We start from the raw sequence: 14,581 nt of genomic DNA, 5'->3' as shown, positions 1-14,581 counted from the left end.
AACTTTTGCCTCTTTTTGTCTCCTTTGAATAACTGGAAATTTTATTAAACTTTATTCTTTTTGGAGGCTGGATATAGACCTAGGCCAGTGTTTCTCAAACTTACTACTATGGATAAGAATCATCATTGGCATTTGTTAAAAATGTAGACTCTTGGGCCCTACTTTAGAGATTTGGAGTGGGAACTTGGAATCTACCTTTTTAAAAAGCTTTTTTCCTTGTTTTATTTTATTCTATTTATTTATTTATTTTGAGGCGGAGTCTTGCTCTGTCACCCAGGCTGGAGTGCAGTCGTGGGATCTCAGCTCACTGCGACCTCCGCCTCCTGGGTTCAAGCGATTCTCCTGCCTCAGCCTCCCGAGTAACTGGAACTACAGGCGCACACCACCATGCCTAGCTAATTTTTTTGTATTTTTTTTTAGTAGATACGAGGTTTCATCTTGTAGGCCCGGCTGCTCTCGAACTCTTGACCTCAAGTGATCTGCCCGCCTCAGCCTCCCAAAGTGCTGGTTATAGGCATGAGCCACCATGCTCAGCCTCTTTGCTTTATTAAAAACTTAATTTTTTAATTAAAAAAATAGATGCGGTTTTGCTATGTTGCCCAGGCTGGCCTCAAACTCCTGGCCTCAAGTTATCCTCTGCCCTGGCCTCCTGAAGTGCTGGGATTACAGGCATGAGCTGCCGTGGCTGGCCTCATTTTGTATTGGAAAGTAAATCATACTACAGAAATGGGCATAAAGTAAATGTATAGCAAAACAAGTTAGAAGCAAATATCCTTGTAACCACACACATCTGTGAATAAACTGACAGCACCCCAGTGGCTCTCAAAATCCTCATCCCCTCCCTCCCTACTAAGGTGATTACTATGTGGACATTATAGCAATCACTTCCTTGTATGTTTTAGAGCTTTATGAAAATGAAATCAGCTTATATGTAAATTCTTGATCTGGTTTCTTTCACTGAACGGTGATTTTTTTCACTGTGTAAGTTTGAGATTTATCCATGCTGCTGCATGTCACTGTGGCTCATATCGTTGTAAAGTATCCTCTTGTATGATTACACCACAATTATCCATTTTGCTGTTGGTGGACAATTCAATTTTTTTACTTTGTGACTTATTAATAGTAGTATTATATACGTTCTTATACACATCTTCTAGTGTACATGTGCATGCAGATGAAGACATTAACACCTGTCTTCAGTTTTAGTAAGTATTCCCTAATTATTCAACGTACTTATTCCAGTTTACATCCCTACTAACAGTGTGTGACAGTTGTTTCACATCCTTGCCAACACTTGGCATTAACTAATCTTGTGAGCATATAACAGTATTTCATTGTCACTTTAATAAGAGCCCTCCCCCTTTTCATATGTGTTTTGGCTGATTCCTACTTTTGTGAACTTTAGTGGTTCATTGGAGGTTTTTTTTTATTTTTTATTTTTTGAGGCAGAATTTCGCTCTCGTTGCCCAGGCTAGAGTGCAATGACATGATCTCGACTCACCACAACCTCTTCCTCCCGGGTTCAAGTGATTCCCCTGCCTCAGCCTCCCGAGTAGCTGGGATTACAGGCATGCGTCACCATGCGCGGCTAATTTTTGTATTTTTAGTAGAGACGGGGTTTCTCCATGTTGGTCAGGCTGGCCTCTAACTCCCGACCTCAGGTGATCTGCCCGCCTTAGCCTCCCAAAGTGCTGAGATTACAGGCATGAGCCACTGCACCTGGCCTTTTTTTTTTTTCAATTCTTTGTCAGGAGACTTTAAAAATTTATATTAAAAATAGGTTTTAAAAATTTTATTATTTTTTATTATATAAAAAATGGTTCCTGGCTGAGCACGATGGCTCACACCTGTAATCCTAGCACTTGGGGAAGCTGAGGCGGGAGGATCACTTGAGCTCTGGAGTTTGAGACCAGCCTGGGCAACATGATGAAACCCTGCCTCTACAAAAATTACAAAAGTTAGCTGGGCATGTGCCTGTAGTCCCACTTATTTGGCGGTCTGAGGCAGGAGAATCCCTTGAGACGGACGTGGAGGCTGTAGTGAGCTTTGTTTGTGCCACTGCACTCTAGCCTGGGTGACAAAGTGAGACCCTGTCTCAAAAAAAAGTTGCTAATTTTAATCAAATTTATCACTCTTTTCCTCCTGTGGTTAATGCTTTTTGTGTCATGTTTAAGAAATCTTTTCCTAAGTAAACATTTCCACATTATCTTCTTACAGCTTTATTATTTTACCTTTCATGTTTAGATCTACAATCTACCCAGAATTGATTTTATCTCTCATGTGTGAGGTTGGGGCCAAGTAAACTTTTCCCATATGGATACCAAATTGTATCTCATTCATTTTTTAAAACACTGCCATTTCCCTGCTTTCTGTACACAACCTTTTGTTCTAAATGAAGTGCATATGATGGTTGTTTTTCTTTTCTGTCTGCCTATTTTTTTGTGTGGGTGCCATACTATTTTATTTACTTTGGCTTTATGGTATTTGAGGTTTGGGATAAAGTATAGATCTCCAACAAAATAACACTGTCACTTCAGGAGATTCTGATACAAGTGGTCCATGGATGACATCCCTGCTCTAGAGATGCTGTAAGAGAGCTCCCAAATTCTGGCTTAGTATATTTGCCTTTGTTTATAGTTATAAAAACACATTATTAAATGAAGCCATTTTGGTACATAGTTGCACACGTTGTTTATGCTTACACATATAAAGACAATTTCTGATATTATTTTCTAATCTTAATGAGCACCAATGATTTCACAACAGTCCATTGTATTTATCCTGGTCCATTTTATATATTCATTTGCTGATATTTCTTTCTTAAAAATAATTCTGCAAATATAGTAAAATGTTAATTATAGACTTTAAATGTTGGGGCTATAGGTGTTCTTATACAGTTTATTTTCACTTTTCTGTATTTTTGAGAAGTTTTATAATATTGGAAAAATGCTACAGAGAATACTTTATGGTATAAAATCCATCCTCCCCTTTTGTATCTAGGATAAATTGTGGTAGATTTGATAAACCCTTTTTGATAGAGTCTCAGACTTTCTGAGTCAAAGTGTGTGCACATTTTTAGAGCTCTTTGAAATGCATTACTAAATAGATTTCCATAAGAAATTTTTACTCATTAACCTTCCCACTAGCAACATGCATGCCAGTTTCATAGCCTTTGTCAATATACTATATTGACATCAGCAGAAATATATATAAATTTTATTTTAATCCTTATTTGTTTATTTTTTTTGAGATGGGGGTCTCGCTATGTTGCCCAGGGTGGCCTCAAACTCCTGGGCTCAAGTGATCCTCCTGACTCAGCCTCCTGAGTAGCTGGGACTTGAGGCATGAGCCACTGGCACCTGGCTCCTTATTTTAAACTTGTATATCTAGTTAGGTTGATTATTTTTCTTTTTGGTTATTTAATTCTTTATGAAATATCTTGTATCCATTTACCTACTAACATTTTATTGATAATCTAATCTGACAAAAAAGGGTGAGAAAATTCCTCTGGGAAAATGAGCAGATGACTAACAAGGGCAAATCTGAGAAAGAACAGAGAGGATATAAGCCCTACCAAGAATTAAAACATTATATAAAGCTTTAGTAACAGACTGATGAAGTAAGTAGTTGAGAATTAGAGAGCTTCTTCAGGATTTGGTATAAGATAAAGCAAAAGCTTACCAGAGATCACAAATTAAATGGCTAAGAGTGTTCAATTTATAGATTTTTCCCCACACCATTCAGTATGCCACATTGTCAGTGGATTATAATTAGATATTAAAAATAAAATGAATATTTCTCGATAGGCAAGGAATTATCTAAGTTTAGTAGAGATTGCAAATATTATCAAGGAAAATAAAACAGATCGCACCACATAAAGATTTAACTTTTGTAATTTAATAGCAGCTGATCACCGAAATGTAAATATGTAAGCAATAGTGTATTAGAGCAAAATATCAGAAAATGATTTAATATCCTAGTTCATGTTAAGACTCTTCAGGGAAAGCCTCATTTATCTTTTTACTTTTTGTTTTTTTTCTACAGAAATCAATAAATATTTAACTTTTAGCTCACAGGAAACCGCTAGAAATAAACTGATGATGGCTACACTCTTCTTTGTACCATGTTTTGGGGTTTTTTCCCCCCAGCTTTTTTGGATTTCAGAAATGAAGTTCCAAAAAACTTTAGTTGTTTTATTTTTCTTTCTTTTTTTTGAGACAGGGTGTCTTTCTGTCACCCAGGCAGGAGTGCAGTGGCACGACCACAGCTCACTGCAACCTCCCTGGGCTCAAGCGATCTTCCTGCCTCAGCCTCCTAAGTAGCTAGGACTACAGGCATGCACCATCATCATGCCTGGCTGATTTTTATTTTTTTTGTAGAGATGGGATCTCGCTATGTTGCCCAGGCTGGTCTTGAATTCCTGGTTTCAAGTGAACCTCCAGCTTCGGTCTCCCAAAGTGCTGGGATTACAGGCATGAACCACTACACCTAGTCAGAAAAATCTTTAAGTGTGAATATTGGTAAACACTTCCCTGGAGACGATCAGCATGAAGGCCTTTAGAACCATAAATAATCCATTCATTGGAAACTAGCATGATACTGGCAGTTAACAAAAAATATTTTTATATGTAGGAGGGGTTATGTGTGTCAGACCAAGAGGGCTTACTGTTGTTTGATAAAGCATTTGTTCACTTCGCTACTGAGAGACATGAAGATTGCTGAGTGAATGAATGGTAAATGATACTCATTTGGTTTCCTGCAGTGGATCCTGACAATACTAACTTCATAGCGTTTGTTCTGCATTTTGGTTAGAGATTGTATTGCCACATTTTGGAGGATCTTCATAAAACTAATTTACGTTTAAAAAATGACAAGGTAGCTACAGATGTGGTGTTCAGGTCAAGAAGGCAGGGTCACTCCTCCCTATGGCTAAGTGTTGGCTGTGATGATGTGCTTAGGCACACAGTGCCATTTAAACATACCTTATCTTTTATCTGATAAATGATTTTTTAAAAATTACCTGTATTCATCAATGGCTAATACTACTGTTCACCTAAATCCAGTACAACTAATTTTCCCTCCAGCTTTGGAAATAGATCAGTTTTTCTCCACCTGAGCACCAGAGAAAGTAGTTGTCCCACTCTCACCCCCACAAGTATATATATTTGGGGGTCTTTTTGTGTGAAAAATAGTTTCTTTAGAAAATTAGGTTCATCATCTGTGAGAGGTGCTCATGCTGTGGTGTGTGTTTTTGTTTTTAGTCACTTTTTTTTGTTGTAGAAGGCAGTAGAGCATCTTTGTTAATAGCAGGGGCTTTGGGGTACCCAACCCATGGCCATATGCATTTGGCCAAGTTAATTAACATCTTTGAGCTTCACTTTTGTGGAAAGGGGGAAATAATTGTAACTCCTTGGGTATTGAAAGTTATTAAATGAGAGATAAATGCATGTAATGGTCCTAGCTCATAATGAATTCTAACTTTAAAATTTTTGGTCTTGTTAGTGATACGTTTTTCCAAATTTATTTTCTTTGGTTAATATTTGAAAGCTTTACCAACCAGATTCAGAAAATATTTCCAACTTGATATGTAAACAAGAATACAACACTTAGTATGTGCTCTCCTGGTTGTGTCAAGGTAGTGCAAATATGGCAGATTTCAGCACATTTTGTAGTTATTAAGTATTGAACATTTTTATAGCTAATTTCTTTCTTTGATTGCAGCACCCATATATCTCCCATCAGCATCCTACCAGCCTCTACAGAGTAAGTAGTATATTTATAGAAGACAAATTTTTAAGATTTTAAAATACTACTAAGCTGTAGAAATGAAAATAATGTACTTGTGCTCACTTTAGAGGAAAGACTGTACACAGGCAGTAAACTAGTTTTTTATGTACTGTGATAGGAACAAATGAAGAAGAAACCCATTGCATTACTATACAAAATAAAGATGAGCTTTCTTCAGATGGTTTTTTTGAATCCTCTGAAATAATTGAAAAATGTTCATAGAATATAAGTTTTAAAAAAGTAGACTTTACATAAGAAGTGTGAGCAGTACTCATGGTTTCTTTCATTTTGCTGTTAGTAGGTTATTTTGCTTTATAAGTATAGCTTTGAAAAGCCTTATTTAGTGGTTTTCTGTGTAGTGAGGAGTGAATTATAGGGACAACTGATCTTTCCCATCCCAGTAATAATAGTGACATTATGGTTGATTTGTATATGATTGTCTGTTTGGGTAAATTTTACTTTTAAAACTTAAGCCAGTATCATGTATTCCTTTTATGTATTTCTTTTTACACTTTGGTTTACCCATTTAAGTACCATAATAGTTTTACTGGTCATAGGTTTTAGCATTTATGTCTGTGTCACCAGATATCCAGTTAGAGTGACTGCTTCTTACTAAAACGTGTTGTTTTGTAGTATTTTAGAAAGAACAATTAGAGCAGCTGTGGAACAGCACCTTTTTGATCTTCAGAGCAGCATAGATCATGATCTTAAGAATTTACAACAGCAAAGTGTGGTGTGTAATAATGAAGCAGAAAGTATTCATTGTGATGGGGAAGGATCTAATAACCAGTAAGAAACATTTTACTGTTGTTTATTAAATGTTATAAAATTGTTTTATCTTAAAACTGTATTGCTACTTAAATAACAGGATCTCATCTTTCTTGGAGATTTCTGAAAGTTGTTTGTGAAAAGTGACTTTGTATATATACTTGTATATACATCCATACTTAACACTGGATATCTCATCACTTTTTTCATAATATATGTTTTATTAAGTCCAATACAGGTTTGTTTGTTTTTTGTTGTTTTTTTTCCCCTGAACATCGAATGAAGTAACAAGCTTACCTTTAGGAATTATGTTGTATGAAAAATAACTTTAAAAAATTAGACTCTGCAACAGAGTGATCTAGACAGACAGTTACAGGGGCAGCAGATTGATATCACTATAGTGCATATAATCATTGAGTGAAATGGTGGGCAGAATCATCCTTTGCTATTTAAATAGTTATCCCTTCCCACCAGCCTCTCCCCTGCTTATGTTTTTGTTAGATTAACTCTTAATACAGGTTGAGCATCCCTAATCCAAAAATCCAAAATCTGAAGTGCTCCCAAATCCAAAACTTTGAGCACTGACATGATACTCAGAAGAAATGCTCATTTGAGCATTTTAGATTTTGGATTTTCAGATTAGGGATGCCAGTCTGGCACCTCTCCTTGGGATGTTGTGAGGGACCTTGTTTGTCATGCTCTCTGAAAATTTTCATAAGCAAATGAATGGCTTTTAAAATAATTTATGAGCCAGTTGCTAACTGGCAAATATTCCAAAATCTGAAAACAAACAAAACAAATCTGAAACACTTCTGGTCCGAAGCTTTTCCGACAAGGAATAATCAACCTGTATTTAAATGTGTATTAGTTAAAAGTACTTATAATGCATGATGTTACTCCACTCTTCATCTGACCTGTTACCTTTAAATGAAGGAAAGCCTCTCTTTGTTTTCTATTACTTCAGTCCTGTATTTCAGGATACCTGTGTGCCTCCCTCAGAGACCGTGGTGCAGTGATTTCATGTTTTTCATATATCAATTTTTTTTGGGGGGGGGAAGATGAGAAAAATGTACCCAAATCTAGAAGATTCATAGGAAGGTAAAGGAAAAAAAAAGATAATTGGGGAGTGGTTTTTTTTTTAAGACAGTTTTTAAAAGGGCTAACTAGAATAGCTATCAAATATAAAATGAAAAATGTAAATGGATGTGAAAACCAGTGCTGGGAATGTTTATTTTTGGAATACCATATAGTACAATTGCAAGCGTGCCATGGATGGCACTGCCAGCCAGTGCAGCTCTATTTGATGGCCTTGGTTTGTGTACTTTGAAGGCATGATTAGAATGCATACAACTGGGAAAAGGCGGGAGAGGGAAAGAAAAGAGAAAGAAAAACATTAAAAAAAAAAGCATGTATACAACTGGATCTATTGGGAGTATTTGGGCAGAATGTGAAGGAAAAAATCAGTATCTAAGTGTTAGAAATAGTGGGAAAATGTTTCAAAGGATGTAAGCAGATTTCTTGGAGTTTGTCCTTAGCTTAGCTAGGGATCCTGTAAACCTATACCCATTGCTCAGGTGATAGTCTTATTTTCACCACTGGGGAACACATGTTCTATTGAGGGTAGTGGTATCATCTTTGAAACAAAAACTGCAGTGTTTTGGATATTCTAAACTGTAAGATGACAACTCTGCAGTAGGAAGCTATTTCTGTTTTACTTGATAAGGTGTTGGACACTGTAGTGTCTAGTACTGGACTTGTATTTGATCAGGACAGATGTGTCATTATTATGTGAGAGTGTGCATTTACAAGGGAAATGATTATTTCGGCCCATAAATTATTTTAAAAGCTATTTATTCGCTTATGAACATTTTTAGAGGGGATAACATGGTCCCTCACAACATCCCGAGGAGACAAAAACATAGCAGATTTAATAATCTAATTTAGCAAGATAAAAGTGTGGATTTTTGTGAAAGGTACACATTTTCTTTAACAAGTAAAAGTTTCAGATCATTATTGATATTTACTTATTTTAAAGTAAAGGCATTACACACTCAACATTTGGCCTGATCTGATTTTTAAACTTCATCCCTAGGATTGATATTGCTGATGATATTATTAATGCCAGTGAAAGTAACAGAGACTGTTCAAAACCTGTGGCTAGCACTAATTTAGACAATGAAGCTATGCAGCAAGATTGTGTATTTGAGAATGAAGAAAATACCCAGGTAAGGAATGTCAAAAATATGTGTTAGATGTACAACTTTGATTGCTTCATGTGTTTCTTTGATGCCAGAAGTTATAGTTCAGTATTTTGCTGATACACTTAATTGTCTCAATTATAAATCCCCAAGAATATACATTGTTTCAGAGTTTAGGAAACATCACTGGGTAGAGAAGTATAAAACAACTTATTGGCTGGGTGTGGTGGCTCACGCCTGTAATCCCAGCACTTTGGGAGGCCAAGGCGGGCAGATCATGAGGTCAGGAGATCGAGACCATCCTGGCTAACATGGTGAACCCCCATCTCTACTAAAAATACAAAAAAATTAGCCGGGCGTGGTGGTGGGCGCCTGTAATCCCAGCTACCGGGGAGGCTGAGGCAGGAGAAAGGCATGAACCCAGGAGGCAGAGCTTGCAGTGAGCCAAGATTGCGCCATTGCACTCCAGCCTGGGCGACAGAGTGAGACTCCATCTCAAAAAAAAGAAAAAAAAAAACAACTTATTTTAAATTATTTTCCTAGAAATCATGATGTCAGCAGAGGTAGCTAGGTGGTATTATGGTTGACTTTTGTTATTTTTAAGACAGCTTCCGTATTTCTTAGGAGTTTTGCTGAAGAACATGGTATAGGGGAGAACATATAATATTCTCATACACTTCTTAGGATGGGATAGATCCCTGTAACAGAATATTGGTTAACAAGAGAAAAACAAGTTTTAAGACATGTATACCTCATATATACATGGGAGATACTCGGGGGAAGTGAGTAAATCTCTCAGAGGTGGCTTAAATACCATCATGTCCTGAAACAAAGGAAAAAAGGGTGTTGGGGAGACCTAGTTGTAATGAGATGACCAGGAAAAGCACTGTAAGCAAAGTTAAGGTTAGCTCTCAAGATTGGTAGTTTTTAGTGATTTAGAGTCATCTTTCTCTTGCTCGTACAGAGAGGAGACACCCGTAGAAATGGAGATTTCTACTACAGATGAAAATTTCTTTTATAAAAGGGTAACTTCTCTGTATTATCCTGTGTTTGCTATTTCTGAAAATAATAAGCTGAAAATAATCCTTATGCCAAAGAGGAATAATTTGGTGTGGCATGTTCTGAACCTCCACTGTTGGCATCCTTTCTTGATTAGCAGAAACCTAGGAACATTGTTGTAATAATGACTAAATTATTGTCACTGTCACATTTGTTAGTAACTTTTTTTAATATAATTGCCATTAAATGTAAAAAGCAGCATCTAAGACATTCAAAATGTAATTTTGATACTACTTTTAAAAATAAGATGCTAAATTAATAGATAAGGTGGGTTTCCTCAGTATATTTTCATTCTAAACCATCCACTAAAGTAGGGCTAAAGAGGAATTTAGAGTAGGAAGACTTAGGTTTTGTATTCTGCCTTTGTTCAGTATCAGTGTGACTTTGGCCAAGTTACCTGACTTCTGAACTGCATTTTGCTTTTCTCTAAATAAGTGGGGGTAATACCTATATTAGAGGATTATGATAAAAAGATGTGAACATATTATAAAATTATTTTATAAACTAGAAGACATTTCAAAGAAGTTAAGCTGCCACTGTTAGTTTCACAGACTTGGGTGTATTAGATGAACAGCTTTTCAGTTATTGCTTCTATAGTTGTCCTCTTGCCCTTTCCTGGATTATCAGTTTCTGCCTGTCTACCTAGTCATTCCCATCAGTGTAAAACATTTATACTGTTATTTCTTCCAAGTTCAGAAAAAACCCTCTCTCGACTCCCCCCATCCCATTCTAGCACATACACCCTGATTTCTCTGCTTCCCTTTATAAATAGAATTGCTGGAAGAATTGTCTGTGTCTCTTTTCTTTAACTCTTCTCCTCCCATTCTCTCTTAAATTCACTGCAGTGATCCTTTCCTCCGACCATTCATTCCTCTGAAATAGCTTTTGCAAGTCACCAGTGATGTCTGTTGAATGTTTTACTTGACCTAACAGCAAGGTTTGATTCAATTAATTACTCCCACTACCTTGATATACTTTTTTCACTTGGCATTCAGGATATCTCACTCGGTTTTTTTTTTTTTTTTTTTTTTTTTTTTTTTTTTTTTTTACCTACACTGGCTGTTCTTTCTCATTCCCCTCTGCTGATTGCTCTTCCTCTTCTGAATCTCTTAAATTTGGAATGGCCCAGGGCCCATTTCTCAGATTGCTTATTTTTATTCACTTCCTTGGTAATCTTGTTTAGTCTAATGGCTCTACCTACCATCTATGTGCTACTGATTCCCAAATTTGTATCTCGAGTCCAGACCTGTTTTGGAACTTTAGATTGCTATATCCAACTAGGCACCCAGCATTTCCACTGGTATATTTTTACCAAGCATCTGTTGAGTAGGAAAGATTTCTTTCCTTACCCATCATTAGGTTCATAGCTGAGGCATCTGTAACAGAAGACATTAACAAGAGAAAAGCATGCACATTTATTTAATGTAAGTTTTACATGACATGAACACCTTCAGAAATCAAGACCCACAGAAACAGACACACCTGTGTATTTTAATGCTTTGGTTTGATGAAAAGTGGACAGTGGTGCGGATGAATAATTAGACAAAGAGGATGATAAATAAAGGGCGGCTCATTAACCAAGGCCTGTTTGTTCAGATTCTTTTCTATGTCCCTGTGTATTCAGAGATAAGGGCATTCCTTTCATCCAGGTATAGGGTAGATACTTCTGGAATGAAGGTTGTTGTTGTTGTTGTTGTTGTTTTTGAGATGGAGTTTCGCTCTTCTTGCCCAGGCTGGAGCAGTGGCACAATCTCAGCTCACCACAACCTCTGCCTCCCGAGTAGCTGAGATTACAGGTGCCTGCCACCATGCCCGGCTAATTTTTTGTATTTTTAGTTGAGACAGAGTTTCACTATGTTGGCCAGACTGGTCTCGAGCTCCTGACCTCAGGTGATCTGCCTGCCGTGGCCTCCCAAAGTGCTGGGATTATAGGCCTGAGCCACCACGCCCAGCCAAAGGTTTTATGACTTACTTCAGAAGATAAGTCTGACCACTTTTTACTGTTTCTACTGCCATCCTCTCACCTGGATTAATATTGCCTCCTAATTAATCTCCTCATCTTTGTTTCTTGATGGTATGTTCTCAACACTGAGCCAGAATGATCCTTTTAAGAGGAAAATTAGATAATGCCACTTCTCTTCCTAAAACCTTCCAGTGCCTTCTAGCTATCAAAATATAGCTATAGGCACTACGGAATATTGGCTGTGATAGTCAGGATTGAGACAGCTAAATCATAAGTCCTATCTGGATTGCTTATTTGTGGATATCTCCTTAGCTTACATTCTTACCTAGTCTTGCAGATACTTCCTCAGTTTTACCAAATCTCCTCATCACTGTCTGTTTATGGCAGGCCCTCCCACTTACCCACCCACTCCAGTCTCTGAACTTTTTGTCCTTTTTCCCTGCTTCGCATTCCGCCGCACTTTTTTTTTTTTTCCTGAGATGGAGTCTGTCTCTGTTGCCCAGGCTGGAGTGCAGTGGCACAGTCTCGGCACAGTACAGCCTCTGCCCCCCAGGTTCAAGCCATTCTCCTGCCTCAGCCTCCCAGGTAGCTGGGATTACAGGCATGTGCCACCACGCCCGGCTAATTTTTGTATTTTTAGTAGAGACGGGGTTTCACAGTGTTGGCCAGGCTGGTCTCAAACTCCTGACCTCAAGTGATCTGTGTGCCTCAGCTTCCCAAAGTGCTGGGATTACAGGCGTGAGCCACTGCACCTGGCCCCCTCCCCACTTTAGATAGTGTTATAATTATTTTATATATCTTTTAATTTTTATTTTTAGAGACAAGGTCTCACTCTTTCCCAGGCTGGAGTGCAGTGGTATGATCATACTCACTGTAACCTCAAACTCCTGGCCTCAAGCGATTTTCCTACCTCAGTCTCCTAAAGTGTTGGGATTACAAGCATCAGGCACCATGCCCAGCCATTTCTTTTATATTACTAGTCTGTTTATTGTCTGTCTCCCACTATTAGATTAAAACTTCATGGGGCTACTCACAGTGGCTCATGCCTGTAATCCTAGCACTTTGGGAGGTCATGGTGAGAGCGTCATTTGAGCCTGGGAGTTTGAAACCTGCCTGTGCAATGTAAGGAGGAGAACCCATCTGTACAAAAATGGTAAAAAAAAAAAAAAAAAAAAAAAAAAAAATAGCCAGGTGTAGTGGTGCTCCCCTGTGGTCCCAGCTACTTGGGAGGCTGAGGTGGGAAGATCACCTGAGCCCAGGAGGTAAGGCTGCAGTGCGTGGTGATCACACCACTGCAGTTCAGCCTGGGCGACACGGTGAGACCCTGTCTTTGAAGAAAAAAAAAAAACTTTATGAGGGCTGAAATTTTTGTCTGTTTTGTTCTTTATTACATCCCTATTATCTAGAACACTTAGTAGGTATTCATTAAGCATTTGTTGATGTAAGACCAGAATAGCATCTGGCACATAGTAAGCTAGTAAACAACTCGGTAAATAATTTGTTGAATGAAATTGGTGTATTAGGCTGGGCGCAGTGGCTTACGCCTGTAATCCTAGCACTTTGGGAGGCTGAGGCAGGTGGATCGCTTGAGCCCAGGAGTTCAAGGCCAGCCTGGGCAACATGGTGAAACCCCGTCTCTACAAAAATAAAAATTAGCCAGGCTAGGTGGCGTACGCCTGTAGTCCCAGCTACTTGGGAGGCTTAGGTGGGAGGATTGCTTGAGCCTGGGAGGTGGAGGTTGCAGTGAGCTGAGATCGTGCCACTGCACTGCAGCCTGGGTGACAGAGTGAGACCCTGTCTCAAAAAAAAAAAAAAAAAAAAGAAATTAGTGTATCAATTACTTTATAAAGAGAGCAGGAACTAATTCTTTCTAAAATTGTTTTTAGGAAACCTTTATGAATGATGGGTTCTTGGCCTTGAAAAACCTGTCACCATTTCTTCCCCCCAACCCCAGCTAAGAAGTTCAGTGATACTCTTATTATTTGAATAAGTTAGTTCAGTTGGGCAATACACAATAATACCTGTTTACTTGGACAGTATAAGCAAAAATACCTGATTTAAGTTTTCTTTCTTTTTTTTTTTTTTCTTGAGACGGAGTTTCATTCTTGTCGCCCCGGCTAGAGTGCAGTCGTGTGATGTGGGCTCAGTGCAACCTCCGTCTCCTAGGTTCAAGTGATTCTCCTGCCTCAGCCTCTTGTGTACCTGGGATTACAGGCATGTGCCACCACGCCCGGCTAATTTTTTTTTTTTTTTTTTTTTTTTAGTAGAGACAGGATTTCTCCTTATTGATCAGGCTAGTCTCAAACTCCTGACCTCAGGTGATCCTCGCGCCTTGGCCTCCCAAAGTGCTGGGATTATAGGCGTGAGCCACCGTGCCTGGTCGATTTAAGTTTTCAATGACTTGATAATCTAGGTTGTACATGCACATACTTTCTAATACAGAATATGACTAGTGCTATTAGGGCACTATAGTCTTGCAGAAGAGAGGAAAGAACTTCTGGCCAGGGTAGTTATGGAAGGTCTTGGAATGAGGGGGATTTTGAACTTGGCTTTTTATAGGGCTGGATTTGGTTCAAGATTTGTGAAAGAAACTAAAATGAATAGTATAAGTAAAGATTACAGGGTAATGTTGAATGTTAATGAAACAGAGCTACTTGTAGAACTCAGGGTATTGTGGGAGGATATATAGTAGAAGATAATTCTGGAATATTGGTAGATTTGGGTCATACGTAGAGCCTGGAATACTATCTTAAGAATTGTAGATTTTCTCAGTAGAAGAAAAATATAGAAAACTTTGAAGCAGAGG

At 38.1% G+C, this 14,581-nt stretch overlaps 1 protein-coding gene across 46 annotated transcripts in view; it reads left to right on the top strand.

Annotated features, from left to right (window-relative positions):
• FAM13B (family with sequence similarity 13 member B) overlaps positions 1 to 14,581 on the top strand; it is a 114,219-nt gene that overhangs the window by 58,142 nt on the left and 41,496 nt on the right. For 42 of the 46 annotated variants that reach the window (NR_169824.1, NR_169815.1, NR_169814.1 and 39 more), the window contains 3 exons: positions 5,722 to 5,763; positions 6,421 to 6,576; positions 8,648 to 8,780. Coding sequence is in view for 39 of the 46 variants with exons in the window: in XM_006714648.2 (XP_006714711.1) it covers positions 5,722 to 5,763; positions 6,421 to 6,576; positions 8,648 to 8,780 (331 nt within the window). In the remaining 7 variants the exon portion in view is untranslated. The remainder of the gene's footprint in view (positions 1 to 5,721; positions 5,764 to 6,420; positions 6,577 to 8,647; positions 8,781 to 14,581) is intronic. The other 4 variants (NM_001385869.1, NM_001385870.1, NM_001385874.1 and 1 more) reach the window with 1 other exon arrangement.

Source organism: Homo sapiens, chromosome 5 (genome assembly GCF_000001405.40).
Source record: "Homo sapiens chromosome 5, GRCh38.p14 Primary Assembly".
NCBI lineage: Eukaryota > Metazoa > Chordata > Mammalia > Primates > Hominidae > Homo > Homo sapiens.
This window is presented reverse-complemented; position numbering and strand designations above follow the sequence as displayed.